Here is an 18313-nt window from a genome sequence, read left to right on the forward strand (position 1 = left end):
CCCAACTTTCAGGCCAGATTGCAAATGACCAGCACTGTGGCGTCCCCGCAGAGAGGCATAGGCCCCATTCCCCTCTGCAGCCCACGCCGGCCAGGCCCACCCATGTCCTGTGCTGGACTCTGTCCCTGATCAGGCTCCGCTGCAGAGAGCAGACCCCCCATCCCAGAGCACTGCATCCAATAAAGCCAACACTTTCACCCCATGCTCCAAAAACAAACACTGTCCACATTTAGAAGATTAGATTCATATATGCTCAAAATATTCTTCTTTAAAGAATGTTTGGTGCCCCGGCAGCCATTTGTACCTGTGACACTGATTTTTCCCCCATCCTTTTCCTTTCCTCCTGCTCTTCTCTCCTCAGTAATAATATATTGCCTTTTGCTAGAGTAGCTTAGAATTGGAGGAAAAGTTTAGACTCAAGACTTCCTGGTAGGGGCCAGGCACGCTGGCTCACACCAGTAGTCCCAGCATTTGGAGAGGCTGAGGCAGGAGAATCACTTGAGCCCAGGAGTTCAAGACCAGCCTGGGAAACAAAATGAGATCCCCTTCTCTACAAAAAGTTAAAAAAAAAAAATTAGCCAGATGCTGTGGCACACACCAGTAGTCCCAGCTACTCAGGAGGCTGAGGTGGGAGGATCCCTTGAGCTCATGAGCTCAAGGCTGTTGTGAGTTATGACCATGCCGCTGCACCCCAGTCGGGGCAACAGAGTGAGACCCTGTCTATTTTTGAAAAAAGAGAGAGAGATTCCTGGTGGCCTTTCAAATTTAAAAAAAAATTCTTTCTTTGTTAAAACTTATAAAGCTCGCAGGACCCCAAAGCCTGTGGAGCTCCTCTCTCTCTGTGCATGTGGGACAGGCGGCTGCACTCACAGCTTGCCTCCCTGCTGTCCTCCCTGCCTGGGTCATCTGACCCACACGGTTGTCCCCATCCCCAGAAATACTCGACCTCTTGTCATTCACATATGTGAGTGCACTGCATTCTAAATCTTCTGGAACCTTTGTGGTGTTTCCTGTTGCTCTCCCAATAAATTTAAACTTTTCTGGGGAACAAGGACAGCTACATATTAAAAGGCACTAGAGTGTCATGGTTTTAGCAAGGACAATGAGGTCAGACTCACCACTTATCAGTTCCATGACCTTGGGCCTCTGATCTTCTTCTCTGTGTCTTCAGTCTTCCTGTCTCTAAATGGGAGTATTAAGATTACCTACCCTCCTGGGGCTGTTTTAAGGATTAAACATACTGATATATGTAAAGTGCTTAGAACAGTGTTTGGTACAGGGTAAGCAGAGAGTGTGTGTGTGTGTGTGTGTGCGCGCGCGCACGCGTGCGTGCACATGTGCATGCATGCATGTGTACAAGTGTGTGCATGTGTGTGAGATATAGGGTAAGCAGGGTGTGCATCAATGCACACTCATGCACACTACTAACTGTATGCTTCGGTCAAGTTTCTAAACCTCTTCAGCCTTCTCATAAGTAAAATGAAAGAAATGACCCATTCCCAGTGTTACTGTCATAATGTGGGGCAAAGTATGCAAACCAGTGTTGGTATGAGGTGGGCCCTCAATGGAACTCACGGCCTTTCCCCATCCCTCCTTTCACTCTCATCCCTGGCCCCGCTTCAGGAGCATCTGGGGCAGTGACACTCAGGAGTGGGCTGTCAGTAATGTCTAAGCACCTCCCAAGCACAGCCATTTTCCTAAAAACCTTGACTTGACTAATACTCTTTTTTCAAGCAACTACAATGAACCCAACCCTGTGACTTGGAGAGGTTGGACGGCGAGGGAGGGATGAAGTGCACCACCCCGTACACCAGCCAGCATTCTGCAAAGAGTTTTGAAAGAAAAGACAAGAAGGAAAAGGAGGCAGCAAGCCAACAGCATTTTGAGTATTCAGCCTAGAAGCCTGCCATCAGCTGTGCCTCCTCCATACTGCCTCTTATTTGAAGAATTCTCCAAAGCTAGAGTAGAGACAGGCCGCCTTTCCAGGCCAAGCCTGACCATTGCCTATGTTGGTTATGCTAAGATCCTATAGTTTTCCTGCTCCCAGATGTATGGCTCAAAGGCACAATACCCCACTGGGTCCTGACCTGAGGAGGAAGCACACCTTGCACCAGTCAGCTCCATTGCTCTTTCTTCTTGCCTCCTGCCTTATCCTCCTACCATGCTGCAGCCCTATTTGCTGTATGTCCAGAGGCCCAGTGACCTGCCCAGATTTTGCCTGCTTCCTCCCCTAGGACCCGGACCCTTTCTCTACAGCCACCACCTGTATCCCCTCCTGGAGTGAATGGATCACTGGGGACTAAGAGACTTTGTCCCACCCATCCACTGGAATCCTACCCCCGCAGCACTCAAACTCCAATACTGATGCTTGCTGACACTGGCAACACACTCTGTACACTGTGTCTTGGCCAGCCAGGCTCCCTCTAGGACACAGCTCCAAATGCATTCCCTAGAAAGCCCCCTTCCCACCACCCCAGGGTTCAGCTCAGTCCTGCCTCACCAGTGCTGCGTTGCCTCCAGATTCCAGCATGCCTTGCATCTACGCTCCTGAGTATTGTTATGGCAGCCAGGAGGACAATCACTGTTTTTATCCGCCACTGCTGCTAGCGGTAGATATCATTCTCAAGGAAATTAACAAATCTTGCCTTCTGTGATACATATTTGCAGCAAGAATGGACCTCAGATAGGCCTGACACCTCAGCCTCTTGAGGGATGCTCCCAGGAAACTGGTCTTCCATTACTCAGCCCTGTGGGAAACACTTGGGGACTTACTGGGGTTATTGACACCAGCTGTTTGCACCTGGTGAGCAAAGCGTATACTCACAGCCTCCTCAACTATCAAGAGATCTGGGGCAGGAAGCCAAGCGGGTGTTAAACCCAGCGTGAGAATGGCAAACGAAGTCTTAAGCCTGGCAGACTTCTCATTCCATTAGGTGGCATTATCCATAGCTTTATGTCCCCATGGAGCCTGGGGGAACCCTGTAACCGTATCTCTGCCTGTGGGGATACTGCTGGGACCTACTTTGTGAGACCATCTCTGTTAGTGTGGGTATTCTTTGCCATTAAGGAAACTTCAAGTCTCCTGATACTCTTGGTGCCTCTTTCAGTCACTATCCCATTGTGTCAGCTTTGCCTTGGCCTTATTCATCTCAATAAGATCACATCCTTCTGTAGGCAGACAGAGTTGAAATAAGGAATACATAAATGCTCACTGTAGCCTCTACTGTGACTTAAAAGATACCTAGCCTATGGGCATTCCTTGAAAAATGTCTTTTTACATGCATGAATGAAGAGAGAGACGTATTTCACCAATAACTGCATTGACAAAAATGTGCTAAGATCTGCCATGGGCCAGGCACTGCGCAGGAAATAAAAATAAATGAAAGACAGGGTCACTGTTCTCAAGAGCCTTGCAGCCTGGTTGGGAGCAAGTGACAGAGACTTTTCCTGCTTACAGAATGACCATGTACTTTAACAAATTTTCCAAGTTCTTCATAATTAGGCCGATTCTAGCCAGTGATCTGTGAGCAGATGGGATGAATGATGACACTTGGAGGCTGAAGCATTTAACAGCCCCAGTCAACTCTCCAGCTGTCTTCCCCTGACATGGTGTCCACGGCAGCCCCCATCAGTCTGGGTCCCTGAGCAATTGTGTGCAGCAGAGACCCCTGCCTGATCGCACTAGATATGTGGGCTGAGCAAGAACACAGATGACTTTATGTGATGCAACCAAGATATTGAGATGAATTTATTACCCCAGCAGAGCCTAGTCTATTCTAACACTGGGAACACACATATATGTGTGATGCGGTAAGATCAGACAGTACCTGATCAGCATCCAATGAATAGTGTGGATAAGAGTCTCCAAGCTTAGCCTTGGTCTGCAGGCTTTGCCTTTACTGTTCCATCTTCCTAAAAGTTCTCCTTCTAGATCTTTTTGTGGGTTGCTCCCTCCTGCCATCTGGGTCTCAGCTATAAAGCTACCACCTTGAAATACCTTTCCTGACCAACTCCCCCAGAGTGCACAGCCCCAGACCACTGTCTATCTCATCACACCTTCCTCAGATTCTGTGGAATGGCCCTGCTTGCTGTCCATCTTTCCCTGGTCACAGTGAAAGCAAAATGAGAGCAGGGACCTTGTCGCTTGTCTTTGCTGTGTTTCCAGAACTGTGCCTGGCACGGAGCAAGCACTCCATCAACAGCTGATGGATGAACCCAGAAACAGAGGGTGTGTGCCAGGGGAGTCTGGAAGTGGGAGGATGACCACTGACAGCCGAGAGGCCAGAAGAGGATTTACAAAGGAGAAGCCCTTTGAAGGAGGGTCACTGAGGTCGTTTTGGCAGTCACAGCAGCATGAGCAAGGCCGGGGTGGGACAACACAGGGAGGCTAGGGTGACCATGAGCTGAGTGGGTCAGTTGGGGTGGAGGAGCACAGTGGGAAGAAAGTAGCTGAGAGCTTGAAATGCTAACTATAGGTGCTCTAGGACCAAGGGAAGCTGTCTGAGGGTGCTGACTGGGAGCAATGTCCCCAAACCCACTGTTCGGGAAAGGTTGGCTGGATGGGGATTTCCAAGCTAGAGGCCCATTGAAAGAGGCTGAGGACAATGGCACAGGCGTTAGGCTGTGAAAACCATCCAGACAGAGGGGATGACCAGAGGACAGGAGGAATATGAAGAAGGAAGGATCAGGAAATCTTTGTCCAAAAAACTTCCCCGATACCCACTGCCACACAGCTCAGGGAGCAGAAGGAGCCAAGTCTAGAGCTCAAAGCTTCTTTCCACTGGATTCTCAAATTCAGCAGTCCCTCTCTGAGCTCTCTGGAGTACCCAGTATAAGGTAGACAAGAGCAATGCCCCAGAACAATGCTCACTGGGGTTCCTGATGGAGACCCAACACACCACTTCAGTACAGATGGTGAGAAACTGACATCAAAGTCACACAAAAGAGATTCACATTTTAGAGGTAGAATCTGAGTCTGAACCTTAGTAAAGTGAGCGTATAACACTGCCCTTGCTGGCCATGCAGTTTTTGTGAAGATGAAATGGAGTTACAAATTTTATTTTAAGTTTAAAAATACTTTATGAGTATCACTCTCAGAGAGAACAAAATGTGCTTGTTAGGATTTTATCTCCTTTCCAGGGCACAGACTTTCTTATGGAGTCCTGGACATTGATCTAACAGCCCAGGGTAGCCGCTTTGGTCTGGGCAAGGAGGGTGTGCCAGTAGAAACAGTGAACATAGCTTCATGATGTGAAAGCTCTGTTACAGCCCATTTTATTTATGGCTTCAAACAGAAGAGTTAAGGCCCCGCCTTGCATATGGGAAGTACTCACTAAATACTTATTAATGAGTTTTCTATTGTTGCCAACTCTATTTGTCTTTCATCTTTATCACTATCTAGAGCAATGCAAGAAAAGTGAGATAATGTGACACAAATGAACAGGAAGGAGAAAGGTCTACATCACCATTGACTTTCTGTCCCTCTTTTCCCTACTTCCTGCCCGCACACTCAGCAATACCCTTTACATTGGATCTCCTACCTCTCCCTATTCTGTCACATCCTATTTCCCTGCTAAGTAATTTTGCAGACAGCTCCCGTCATGCCACGCTCTTAAAAAAAATCTTCAGTGGTGCTAGATCAGGACCACATGGAGCGGGTAGGGGACATTTATTTCTACTCCTGGTGTTTCCTCCATGCGGTGGGAGTGTAATTAGTTGTAATGGCTCAGCTTGTCTTCCCCCAGCTCAACCATTTCTCCTCTTGGGTGAGAGAAGGAGGAGTAGCTTATCTTATTGTTAAGTCTAGAAGAGGACGCTGGCATTCCTTGCCTAGCCTCTTTTTCTGCCCTTCCTTGGAGGGGAGCAAAGGGCCTGCAGGAAGCAGGTGTTCTTCTATGCCTCTCCAAGTTCTAAGTTCACAGGGCTGGCCCATCCGCCACTGCCTGCCATGGAGAGAGAATGTCTGTTTGGCTCTCTTCCTAAGCTACTACCTCCCATGTAGCCGCTCTCAGTTTTACAGCTGATATTTTGGCTTTGTCCACTCTTGCCTTGATCTAATTTCTCAGCTGGTTCAGTAATCAGGCCAGGAAGATGGTACTGTTTATGGCTGAATGCCCCTGGGAACTCCAGCAAACACTTTTCCATTGTCTATGAAAAAAATCGGAGTCCTCAGCCTGGCATTTTAGATTTTCCATCAAAAAGCAAAACAAAACAAAAAAAAAAACACGTTCTGGTCAACTCCGTCAGCACAGTTTCCCACTCCATCGTGCCCTGGATGTGCCCTGGACGTAGAGCCCCGGCACCGGGCTCCCCTGGCATCCTGCGTACACTTCATGCTTTCTTTCTCCCGTACGCTGAGCTCAGCTCCTGTTCCACTGGTGTTTAGCTTGACCAAGACTCTCCCAACCACCCAAGTGGCTCATTTGCCACTTTCCTGCATGCCTTTCCTGACCCCAGGGATCTGATCACTCCCTTCAGTGCCGTGTTTCTCACTTGGTTTCCTTTGCCAGGAATCTTCCTCTCCTCCTGCCCATCCCCTCCTCCCTATATGCATGCCTGTCTGACTCTCACTTATCTCTGGGCTCTCCAGTCAAACGCCTCTCCCTCCAAAGCCTCCTGAGTCCCCAGGAGTGTTGGATGTTCTTCCGAAGTGCTTCCATAGAATCCTGTCTGTCATTAAATATGCTGAATTAAAATTCTCTGCTTATTTTTCTCAAGATGCTTATGAAGAAACACAGATAACGTTCACAAATATGCACATGCCTGGAAAGAGCAGAGCTGCCCCTGAGGATGGTAAGCTGCCGATAGCAACACAGAAGTCAAAGCAAAGTGCTCACCGTGGGTAGTGTTACAGTAGAGGCCAAGCAAGGGAAAGGCACAGACAGAGCAACTTTCCGGAATTCTCCAGTCATTAGGAGAAGGCTCTTGAGGAGGTGGTTATCCTATCAAGGGTCCATGAATTAAAGGCATCATACGTACTATGAATGCAACCTCCGTATGAGGTTAACAAGAAGCTGGGGCTCCTCGTTACTAGGGTCAGAGAGGGAAATCCCTACATTCAGAGAGGGAAGGGATGAATCCAGGCCACCCAGAGTAAATACAATGGGACAGGGTCTTGACTGTCAGCCTCCCCCACCCAATAAGCATGAATGCCAAATGCCAAGATGTGGTGCTCGGGCAACAGCGACTTGCAGCTCAAATGACACACCTGAATATTGAGGCCGTTGCATTTTTCTCACTGGCTTGAAGCGTGGGAAGTCTGATATGCCTCTTTGAAGTCTACTCAGTGCCTGGGGAATGTGTGGATTTTCTGGGGCCTCTGACAATACGGGGATAGATAAGACCAGTAAGACCCTCTTGGGCTCAAGTGTCAAAAGGCTTTCCTCAACTTTATAGATGCTGCTGGGAAAATGAGAGCTAAAGCTCTGTAATTTTTAACAGGAAGTCTTGAGTCTGCCTTGCTTCCCAGGTTAGGCTAAAAAGAACAGACCCCACGGTTTACCCTTAGGGGATAGTGAGTGCCCTGTCACATGAGGCAATCAACACAGGCCAGAGGACTTGATCAAGAACATTACAGGAAGGATTCCCGCCTTTAGAGAAAGCCCTTTGACAGCCCTACAAATACACACACGTTGCACTTCCCCATTTCTCTAATTAAAATGCACTGTACAAAGCATCCTGTCCCTGTCCCATTTTTTTTATTTTATCACCAAAAGCCTTGCACGCATTGACTTAAAGAGGGCCTAGGACAGCCAGAAGTCTCGGTGACACAGTACCAATTTTGGTGAGCCACTTGGCCACAGCGCCGTAGATCTCGTCCAGGATGAGGATGACCACGAGGTTGATGATGACTGCTGTTGCTGTCACTGTCACCCGGACATTGGAGCGTGTAGCCTTATTGAGAGACAGAGCGGCTGCAGTTGTTATTCGATACACTATCACCCCAAAGACGATTGAGAATGTCAGGGCAATCTGTTTGGGAAAACAGAGAGAAGTACACATCAGCCGGCAATTACCGAGCACCTACTATTTGCTCTGCCAACAGTACCATTTGCTGTTATCAGATATTATTAATCTGGAATCTTTTGTTGGGTAACAAGGGATTCCAGATATTATTAGTCTGGAATATTTGGGTGGGTAACAAATTTTTAGGCAGAGTTCTGAGTGGAGGTGCATTTTCCAGGGGAGAATGTCTTAATTTTTGTCAGATTCCAAATGATTTATCACACACACACACACACACACACACACACAATAAGGATGAACATGCTGGACCCTGTGGAGTGTTCAACACACATGACGCAATTTCTTTCATTAGGGAGCTTTTGATCTTCTAAAGAGATAACATGAACTCCTTTTAAATAAACCATAGTAAATAATGCCCAAGAAGGTATTAAGTGCTAAATGAGGAGTATAATTGCTGAAGGAACTCCAAGTACACGGGAGAAAGTAAATTTGAGTGGTCAGGGAATAGTTTGTGGAGACAGTGGGATTTAAAATGGAGTTTTCATGAGAAGAAATAGAAAGCCATTGAAGGTACCTGAGCTGAGAAGGGATGAGTTACAGCTTGATAAGTAGAGGCAAGAAGGTTGCTCAAAGGAGAAAAGAGGGAATACATCAGGAGTGAGATTTTAGGAATCTCAGTCCTCAAGATGAACAAAATATCACTGTAAGATTTCTCTACTAGGTGACTTGAAATGGAGGACTCAGATTCCTCATTTGGTAGAGAAATGTCTAGCTGCTGTGCTCCAAAAGGAGGGTTATAGCCACGTGACCTCTAAGGGTTCCCCTCATTTCCTCTCTCTAGAACCTAAGAATAAGAAGGGACTCTCTTAGACCTAGATCTGCCCAACAGCCCCTCTTCCTTCTTCTGTCCCCACGTCCCCTCCTGTCCCCATCGCAACCAAGGAAGGATCATTTCCAGGAAGCACAAGGATGCTATGAGAAGCAAGTGCCCTGAGTAAAGCCTCTTAGAGGGGATAGAAGAAGGAGAGACAACTGCTAGGTGCATGCCCCACTCAGAGCAAATTCTAATTTGCTTCAGTCAAGTCAAGACTTCTTCAAGAAAGAAGACTTCCTTCTTAGGACTCTTTCTGTAAAGGAAGCTGTTCAGGTCCTATTTCCTCCGCAGGACAGAGAATGGGCACTGGCTATGAAGGACTAAATAGAAAACGTAGGGAGAGAAAACAGCAGGTGGAAGGCTCCCTGAAAAAATAAGCTGTGCTGGACTACACACACACACACACACACACACACACACACACACACACACACGCATGCACAGGGAGGGAGGCAGGAAGGAGGGGGTAAGAGGAGGGGAGGAGAGGCACAGGAGGAAAGGGGAGGGGAAGTGGGGGCCTCTGGCTTGGGCAGTGCTTTGCAAGCAGTGTGAATGACACTCCAGTGGCTTGCTAATGGGTGGCAGATGTGTCCAGGTATGGATGTTTTCAGACCTCTGGGGGGTACCTGGGGTGTGCTGGTGGCAGACTCAGCTCTTTATCCTGGTAGGCTTCAAAAAATACCAGTAATTGCCCTATGGGCCGTGTTGTGAAAAAGAAGCCCTTGGTAAGGAAGGGAGAAAGGTGGCGTTCTCTGGGTAGAGGAAGGCTGTGTGTGTTTGGGTGTGTGTGGGTGTGGGGAGAGGAGAGGTTAGATGGGAAAAACACTCTGTGTGAGGCCCCTCTTCTGCTGCAGGGTGGGGGTGGGGAGCGGCAGAAACACCAGCCTCCAGGACTAAGTAGGGACTACTATCGTGTAACTGGGAAAACCTGGACATGACATCACCCCTCTCCAACAATGTAGACATTTTCACTTCCCATTTCTCTGGGATTGTCACTGCCAGATAGTAAGGGCCTAGAAAATGTGGTGTGAGATTCTTTTCCCCAAAAATCACTTTTGCAGTGAAGACCAGTGATGAAAGTATTGATGAGGCTGGGGAGGTGAGGGTATTGAGGAGTGAGTGAATGTGTGTGTGTGTGTGTGTGTACGTGTGTGTGTATTTGGGGTTGGGATTGGGAGACGGACTAGGGGAAAAAAAACAATGGCAAAAACATCCTTTGTTTAGGGTCTTGTGGGAGGGACATGAAGGAAGACGTGGGGAGATCAGCTTCTGTTCTTCTCTAAGAGGCCCAGCTGCTAAACTAGAGAAGGAAGAACACTCTTTGCTACTCAAAAATGTGGTCCAAGGACCAGCTGCATCAGCTGGAAGCTTGATTGAAATGCGGAATCTCAAGCACAACTCCAGACCTACTGACCTGGAACCTGCATTGTAACAGAATTCTTTTTCAAATTCAAGGAGCACTGTTCTCCTTATCTAGAAAAGCCTTCTTTCCCACCCTCCTTTCCTCCCTAGCCCCACCCCTGGCACACCTCACTTCAGCTCTCTGGTTCTTTGCAGGTTTACCTTCTCTGGTCTTAATTTCCTATCCCACTATAGAAATCAAGCTCTGAACCTCTCGTTTGGTGTTTCCCAGAGCATCTCAAGATTCACAGAGCTTTCGAGCTGCAGGAACTTGCAGAGTACCAACCCAGTCACGTGACCATTTTGGAGATGAAGAAACGGGCATGGAAAAGTGATGCAATTTGCTGAAGTCCACAAGGTGTGGACTACAATGCTACTCTTCTGGATCATGGTAGAAATTTTAAAATCTTAGCATTTAGGAATCATCTATGTACAGTCTTTAGTCTCATACATAAGGAAACTGAAGCCCAAGAGGCAACAATGTGATTGATCCAAGGTCTGGAGGGTATACGGTAGAGCTGAGATGTTAATGGTGATAACATCATCAATACCAGCTGAACCATTTGTGCCTTCTAGATGTCTTTATTCGATGCATATCTTCACTAGCACTGTTTCTTTTCCTTTTTTTTTTTTTTTTGAGACGGAGTCTCACTCCGTCACCCAGGTTGGAGTGCAGTGGTGCGATCTGGGCTCACTGCAAGCTCCGCCTCCTGGGTTCACGCCATTCTCCTGCTTCAGCCTCCCAAGTAGCTGGGGCTACAGGCACCTGCCACCACTCCTGGCTAATTTTTTGTATTTTTAGTAGAGACAGGGTTTCATCATGTTAGCCAGGATGGTCTCGATCTCCTGACCTCACGATCTGCCCACCTCGGCCTCCCAAAGTGCTGGGATTACAGGCGTGAGCCACCATGGCCGGCCCACATTATTGATTTTCTTTATTAAGTTCAATACGTATTTTCTGGCCGCTTATTGTGCGACCCACTGCACTGGGTATATTCCATGTTTGTGGTCAATCTCTTCCAACTAGGTCAAAAGGAGGTTTGTCTTTTACCACATTCTGTGCCTTAAGCCACTTCACAGCAGCGCCTCCCGTAGAACTGGTTTGGTAAAGATTCGCTGGTCAGCAGCTCTAGGGGATCTGGCTGCCTGGCACATGGTCATTTTATTATGGTTCCTGTTGCTTTTGGTGTTTTAATATCATAACTTTACTTCTGGGACATAAACAAAATGCAACATAAGCCAGGCTACAGAGTCCAGAGTCCTACTTGACGCCAAGAGAGAGACAGGTAAGAGAGAAGACCTCTTCGCCACCCTCCGGAACTTGCATTCTGAAGCAAAGTTGAGAAAATCATTGCACACATACAACAAAGATGATCCTAGTAGCAGCTGGATGGAGTCACAGGCCTCCGTTCACGAGCTTCTGGTATGCTCTTAGCAGAGAGCAGGGGGATTAGTCAGAGAAAACTCCACAGAAAAAAGTTTTGGGACAGTTTCCTATGGGAAAGACTTAGAGGAAAGAATAAGAAGGAAGAACTTTCCAGAAAAGGGAAGAGGGGCAAGTAGCAATGCACAAGGCACAAGTAACCTCTGCTGATCCCCAGCATGGCACACGATAGTAGCTCAAGTATAAAAATACAGGCACGCGCACACACTAGCAACTTCATCATCGACATAGTACGCTGCCTATGACCTCCACCTAGTTTATTTACCCATTCAGTCATTCATAAAATGTGTCTTAAGCTCCTCCTTGTGCCAGTCTCAGTTCTAGGTTCCAGTGGAAAAAGGAAACAGAAAGCACTACCCTCACAGAGTGGATCTTCTAGTGGGAAAACATAGACAATAAACTAATAAATAGGTAAAATAAGTAGTACCTTCAGCACGAGAAATACCGTGGAGACAAAGAAGGCAAACAGGGTATAGGGATCGGTTGCAATTTAAAATAGGGTGGTTGGGAAAGAGACAGCTGAGAAAGTGACCTTTTACCAAATACCTAAAGGAAGGATTTAAGGGAAGGGTGTTTCAGGCAGGCAGTGGCTGACACTGAGTGAGCAAGGGGACAGGTGGAGTGGGAGATGGGCAGGCAGCCAGGAGGGGGCCCTGTAGTGTGAGGATGTGGGCTTCCACACCTCAGGAGATGGGAAGCCATCAGAGAGTTCTGAGCAGAGGAGTGATGTGAGTTGGTTTAGGTTTTAAAAGTTAGCATGCTGATGATCTGTCAGGGGCAGTGTGCAAATAGGGAGATCAGTGAAGGGGCTATGATGAGAGTCCAGGCTGTGGAGGAGGATTTCTGATGGTGGACTCCCAATATCCAAGTGTAAGAAAATGAGTATCTGGGGCACAGGAGGAAAGCTCAGGCACCTAGCTCTAGAGGAGGGACATCGCCTCCGACAATTCCCCCCTTACAAGAAGAAAACAGGAGGGACCATTCAAAAAGGAAACTTTAGCTGAACACACAGGATTGGCGGAGAGGAAATTCGTCTTTGTCCATGCTGGTTTCTAACACAAGGAGGCAGATGAAATAGCACTGGGGCATTTCTTTGCTCTCATCACCCCATGAAAAGCATTCCCAACTGACTCGGTAGATTGGCATGCCTGAAACCTTCCTAATGCCCATGGTCCTGGCATCTTCTGCCTAGGTTCAAGCACAGGGGTGAAGAAAGGAATGAGATGAGAGATACGGTAGGTGTCTTTGGCTTACCCGAACTTTATCACAGAAAGTTACTTCCTTCTAAGCACCACCCTGACCCCTTCATCTCATGCTCCACACCTTGTTCTAGGGTAATGCTAAGTCCTTTTTCTTTAGAAAACATCAGAGTGAACAGGCAACCTACAGAATGGGAGGAAATTTTTGCAATCTGCCCATCTGACAAAGGGCTAATATCCTGAATCTACAAAGAACTTAAACAAATTTACAAGAAAAAAACAACCCCATCAAAAAGGGTGCAAAGGATATGAACAGACACTTCTCAAAAGAAGACATTTATGCAGCCAACAGACACATGAAAAAATGCTCATCATCACTGGTCATCAGAGAAATGCAAATCAAAACCACAATGAGATACCATCCCACACCAGTTAGAATGGCAATCATTAAAAGTCAGGAAACAACAGATGCTGGAGAGGATGCGGAGAAATAGGAACACTTTTACACTGTTGGTGGGAGCGTGAACTAGTTCAACGATTGTGGAAGACAGTGTGGCGATTCCTCAAGGATCTAGAACTAGAAATACCATTTGACCTAGTGATCCCACTACTGGGTACATACCCAAAGGATTATAAATCAATCTACTATAAAGACACATGCACACATATGTTTATTGCAGCACTATTCACAACAGCAAAGACTTGGAACCAACCCAAATGTCCATCAGTGATAGACTGGATTAAGAAAATGTGGCACATATACACCATGGAATACTATGCAGCCATAAAAATGGATGAGTTCATGTTCTTTGCAGGGACACGGATGCAGCTGGAAACCATCATTCTGAGCAAACTATCACAAGGGCAGAAAACCAAACACCACATGTTCTCACTCATAGGTTGGAACTGAACAATGAGAACACTTGGACACAGGGCGAGGAACATCACACATTGGGGCCTGTCAGGGGGTGGGGGGCAGGGGGAGGGATAGCATTAGGAGAAATACCTAATGTAAATGACAAGTTAATGGGTGCAGCAAAGCAACATGGCACATGTATACCTAGGTAGCAAACCTGCACATTGTGCACATGTACCCTAGAACTTAATGCATAACAAAAAATTAAAAATTAAAAAATAAAGAAAACTGGGCTTTTTTTTAAGTGGGAAAAAGAAACGGGGACAAGTTAGTGCCAAATAAGGATTTTAAAAAATCAAATAGGCAGGAAACAATATAATGTATTGTCCAATCTGGAATACTTTTGAGAGTAAAGAAGAAGTGCTATTAATAATTCTCCCTGGTCTGGAAGCTTAAGCCTGGACGAGCTTGAGCACCTGACTGTGAAGGGTGATGTGTAAAGGGGGCTCTCCCCATTCCCACCACTCTGCTCCCAGCTCCTGCCCACATGGTTCAGTTCCCGGAACTTGCTGGTGGCAGTTGTGGGACCCCAGGCATAGTGAGATTCTCAATTAGTTATTGGTTCTGATACAGAATCTTGCATTTATATCAAGATTTGGAGTTGGGTGGGGCTGGGAAAGGGAAGATTTTACAAAGGAGAGATAATTATGTATTATTTGTGAACAATAAAAATATTCCCACTTTCCAGTCTAGCTTTAGGAGGTATCAATGGAATTTTAAAAAAAGAAAAAACTTAGAACTTTGGCAAGATGACCCACCATTGACCCAGTTTTTAGTATTTGTTGAATGGTGGTCCAGTGATCTATTTGTTGTTGATGATGATGATGATGACATTGATGATGACACAGATTTTTCTCTCAGGCAGCAGACAAGCTCCTAGTTTCAGTCCTCTCCTTGCCTGACTTATCAGTGGCATCTAATACAATTGATTGTCCTGCCCCTTTGAAATGCTTTCTTGACTTCTGGGACTCTCTATTCTCCCCTATCCCTTTTCAATTCTCTTTTCTGTCTCCTCCTCATGCTCCCAAACTTCAGCATAGCAGTGTCCCGGGACTTGGTCCTTGGAAATTTTCTCTATCTACTCTCATTCTCTTGGTGATCTCATGCAATCTTATAGCTTTAAATGCCTTCTATAGTGATTAGGTCTCCAGCCTGGACGTCTTCCCTGAACTCCAGACTCATATGCATCAGGAGGGCAACTGAGTTAAGGAATAACTGGCAGATTTTGGGCTGCTCAGGATAAAAGCCTTAGAGTCATTCTTGATTTCTTTTCAGTTTTGTACCACATGATCAAATTCTTTCAGTCCACCTTCAAAATAGAACTAGCATCTGAACACTCTTCAATCTCACCCTGCCCAGGCCACCGCACTTCTTGCATTATCACAACAGATTCCTACTTGATGTCCCTCTTCCCACCCTTGCCTTTCTACCAGCATTTTCTCACCCCAGCAGCCAGAATGATCCTTTTGAAATGTATGTCAGGTCATGTCACTCCTTGCAAGACCTCCTATTAGGTGTTCTCATCTCACATAGAATTAGCCCATGTCCTTACTGTGGTCTCCAGGGCCCTACCTACAGGGCTCCTCGTTACTTCTCTCACTGTGTCTCCCTGTGCACTCCCCGCTGCAGAGTGCTCAGCTCCAGCCACACTGTGGCTCTTTCCTGCTGTCCCTCCTGATGCCAGGCATTGCTCCCCTTGGGCTTTTTCTCTTGCTGTTTCCTCTGCCCAGAATGTTTCCCCTAGAATATCCATGTGGCTGGCTCCTCCACCTCCTCCAGATCCTTGATAAAATGTCATCTTAATGAGAACTTACCTGACCAACCTATTTAATATATGTATTTTGTGTCTTTTTAAATTTTATTGTGAACATGCAGAAAAATCCATTTTACACACACACACACACACACACACAATGAATAAAACAAACACCAATATAGCCCAGACCAGCACTGCCAGCAGCTCTGAATTCCCTTCTCCCCCGTACACATACATGATCTCCCATCCCTGCTGCTCCTTTGGATCCAACCACTGTGCAGAATTTTATGATAATCATTCTCTTGCTCATTTGATAGTTTTAACACAGAGGTATGCATCCTTAAACAATATAGTTGAGTATTGTCTCTGAACTCTCTATGAGTAGAATCAAACTGTATATATTCTTTCATCTTGTTTTTTTCACCCTTGATGTTATACATAGCTATTAGTTTGCTCATTTTCATGACTGTGTAGTATTTAATTGTATGAATATGCCTCAATTTATGTATCCATTCTGGTGGTGACAGGCATTTGGACTGTTTCCAGGTTGAGTTATTATAAGCAGGGCTTCCATAGACGTTCTTGTACACGTATTTTGCTGCTCATGTACACAAGTTTTTCTAAGACAGATATCCAGGAGTAGAATTTCTGGGCCCCAGGATATATGTACTTTCAGTTTCACTAGATAATGCCAAACTATATCCAAAGTGTTTTTGTTTTTTCAACTTATACTCCCTATAGTAGAGTTTAAGATGCTCTTTTGATCTATATCTTTTCCAACACTTGTTACTGACAGACTTTTGGGCATATATGGTATCTCATTGTGGTTTAAATTAGAATTTCCAGGATTACTAATGAGATTGGGTACCATTTTATAGGCTCATTGGCCATTTGGATTCCCTCTTTTGTGAAGTACATATTCATCTTTTTCCTATTTTGTACTGAATTACTGTTTTCCATGTTTTTTAATTCTTTATATATGTTAAGAAAAATTCTTTGAGAGTTATAGTTGTTGCAAATATATTATCCCATTCTGATAATTTGTCTTCTCACAGAGTTTATTAGGTATTTTATGAACTTAAATTCTTAATTCTAATATAGTCAAATTTACCAGCATTTTATTATGGTTGTGCTTTTTGTATCTTGCTCAAGAAATTCTTCCCTACCCCAAGGTCATGAAAATATTTTTTTCTTATATATTTAAAAACTCGATTGTTTTGCCTTTCACAGTCCCTCTTTAAAATACACCTAAAATTGATGTTTTTGAGTGGTGTGAACAAGGCCCAGTTTTATTTTCTTCTGTTTGGACACCCAGCTGTCCCAGAAGCACTTACTGAGAAGTTCATTCTTTTCCCCACTTATATGCAGTGCCACTTGCATTAATCTGGTTCTTGGTTTTCTATTTTGTTCCATTGGTCTCATCATCTCTTCTCACAAGAATGTAACATTATCTTACTCATTGTAGTTTTATAATTAGAGTAACATATCCATCCTTCAAGAGTTTCTTGACTATTCTTAGCCTTTGTGCTTCCACATAAATCTTAAAATCAGTTTATCGACTGGACAATCTAAAGACCTTAGAACATTATTGTTCTATTTATTGTCCACCCAACTTACATAGTATTGTTGCATATATTTTAGTTCTATCTTTTTTAACCTCATGAGAATTGGCATTATTATTTTCACAGTCAAGGTTCATATAGGTTTTCTCACATATTTACCACTTTAAAAGTTCTTCATTCCTTTCTAAAACCATGGTCTTCCATATGGGATCACATCCAAGGTACATTCTTAGAATTTCTTTTAATGAGAGATTCGGTTGATAGCAAACTCTCAGTTTCTATTTGTCTATAAATATCTTTATTTTATCCTTATCACTACATGATATTTTTCTTGGGCATAGAATTCTTAGTTAGAAATTGTTTTGTTTTCAGCACGTGAAGAGGGCATTTCATTGTATTCTGACTTCCAATGTGCTATAAAATATCAGTTGTAAGTCCAGGTGTCTTTCCATTGAAGGTAATTTGCCTTTGGATTTAAGGCTGCTTTTGAGACTTTTCTTGTGCCTTATATACTCTATAATTTCACTATGATGCATCTAGATGCAGATTTATTTTTACTTTTTCTGCCTGGGTTTCACTAGGATTCTTCAATCTATGGATTGGTGTACTGCATCAAATTAGGAAACCACCAGTCCTTATATCTCCCTCATTACCTGTTCTCTTTCAACCTGTTTTCCATATTGCCAATCTTTTTTATCGCTATGCTGTATTACGGATAATTTATTCCAGCCTGTATTGCAGTTTACAAATTCTCTCTTCAGCTTTGTCTAATTTGTTGTTAAGTCTATCCATGGTTGAGGCAGGAGAATCGCTTGAACCCGGGGGGCGGAGGTTGCAGTGAGCCAAGATTGTACCACTGCACTCCAGCCTGGGTGACAGAATCAGACTCCGTCTCAAGAAAAAACAAATCTATCCATGGTCGTGTGTGTGTGAATGTGTGTGTGTGTGTGTGTACACATATATATACACATATATACATGGCATATAAAAATCATATATATAACAATAATATTTTTGTTAATTTCTATATATATTTATTTCTAGCAGATAGAGGTTTATTGGTTAGTTTTCATTATCTGCTAGATAATTTTCAAAATAGTTTCTTATTCTTTGTGTATATTTTTAAGGTTGCTGTTTTAACCTGTGACTGATATTTTCAATATCTCTGGTCTTTGCTGTCTGTTCCCACTGGTTCT

The 18313-nt window shown here is 44.9% G+C and overlaps 1 protein-coding gene across 3 annotated transcripts in view, besides 8 other annotated features; it reads right to left on the reverse strand.

The window, feature by feature from the left end:
* The window catches only part of ANO2 (anoctamin 2), a 383578-nt gene that overhangs the window by 64722 nt on the left and 300543 nt on the right, over nucleotides 1-18313 (reverse strand). For all 3 annotated transcript variants that reach the window (NM_001278597.3, NM_001364791.2, NM_001278596.3), the window contains one exon: nucleotides 7776-7971. In NM_001278597.3, the coding sequence (NP_001265526.1) occupies nucleotides 7776-7971 (196 nt within the window). The remainder of the gene's footprint in view (nucleotides 1-7775; nucleotides 7972-18313) is intronic.
* Nucleotides 11469-14343: a meiotic recombination region, noted in NCBI's record as "this region was identified as a recombination hotspot within the HapMap YRI population". NCBI's record gives the evidence for it as "EXISTENCE:nucleotide sequencing assay evidence [ECO:0000219][PMID:20981099]".
* Nucleotides 11469-14421: a biological region, named in NCBI's record as "meiotic recombination hotspot F".
* Nucleotides 11706-12820: a meiotic recombination region, noted in NCBI's record as "this region was identified as a recombination hotspot within the HapMap CEU population". NCBI's record gives the evidence for it as "EXISTENCE:nucleotide sequencing assay evidence [ECO:0000219][PMID:20981099]".
* Nucleotides 11740-14421: a meiotic recombination region, noted in NCBI's record as "meiotic double-strand break mapped by DNA meiotic recombinase 1 chromatin immunoprecipitation followed by single-stranded DNA enrichment and sequencing in the germ cells of some male individuals with the PRDM9 A/A, PRDM9 A/B and PRDM9 A/C genotypes". NCBI's record gives the evidence for it as "EXISTENCE:chromatin immunoprecipitation-seq evidence [ECO:0000229][PMID:25395542]".
* Nucleotides 11781-11796: a nucleotide motif, noted in NCBI's record as "nucleotide motif; similarity to the predicted 16-mer PRDM9 C-type binding motif, CCNCNNTNNNCNTNNC".
* Nucleotides 12228-13627: a meiotic recombination region, noted in NCBI's record as "crossovers mapped in sperm cells of males of European and African ancestries; recombination frequencies vary with PRDM9 genotypes, with PRDM9 A/A >> PRDM9 A/N, where N is a non-PRDM9 A allele. Low recombination frequencies are observed with some PRDM9 alleles.". NCBI's record gives the evidence for it as "EXISTENCE:DNA detection assay evidence [ECO:0005519][PMID:18650392, PMID:20818382]".
* Nucleotides 12976-12988: a nucleotide motif, noted in NCBI's record as "nucleotide motif; sequence similarity to the predicted 13-mer linkage disequilibrium (LD) hotspot motif CCNCCNTNNCCNC". NCBI's record gives the evidence for it as "COORDINATES:motif similarity evidence [ECO:0000028][PMID:18650392, PMID:19165926]".
* Nucleotides 14229-14244: a nucleotide motif, noted in NCBI's record as "nucleotide motif; similarity to the predicted 16-mer PRDM9 C-type binding motif, CCNCNNTNNNCNTNNC".

This window comes from Homo sapiens, chromosome 12, assembly GCF_000001405.40.
Source record: "Homo sapiens chromosome 12, GRCh38.p14 Primary Assembly".
Classification (NCBI taxonomy): Eukaryota; Metazoa; Chordata; class Mammalia; order Primates; family Hominidae; genus Homo; species Homo sapiens.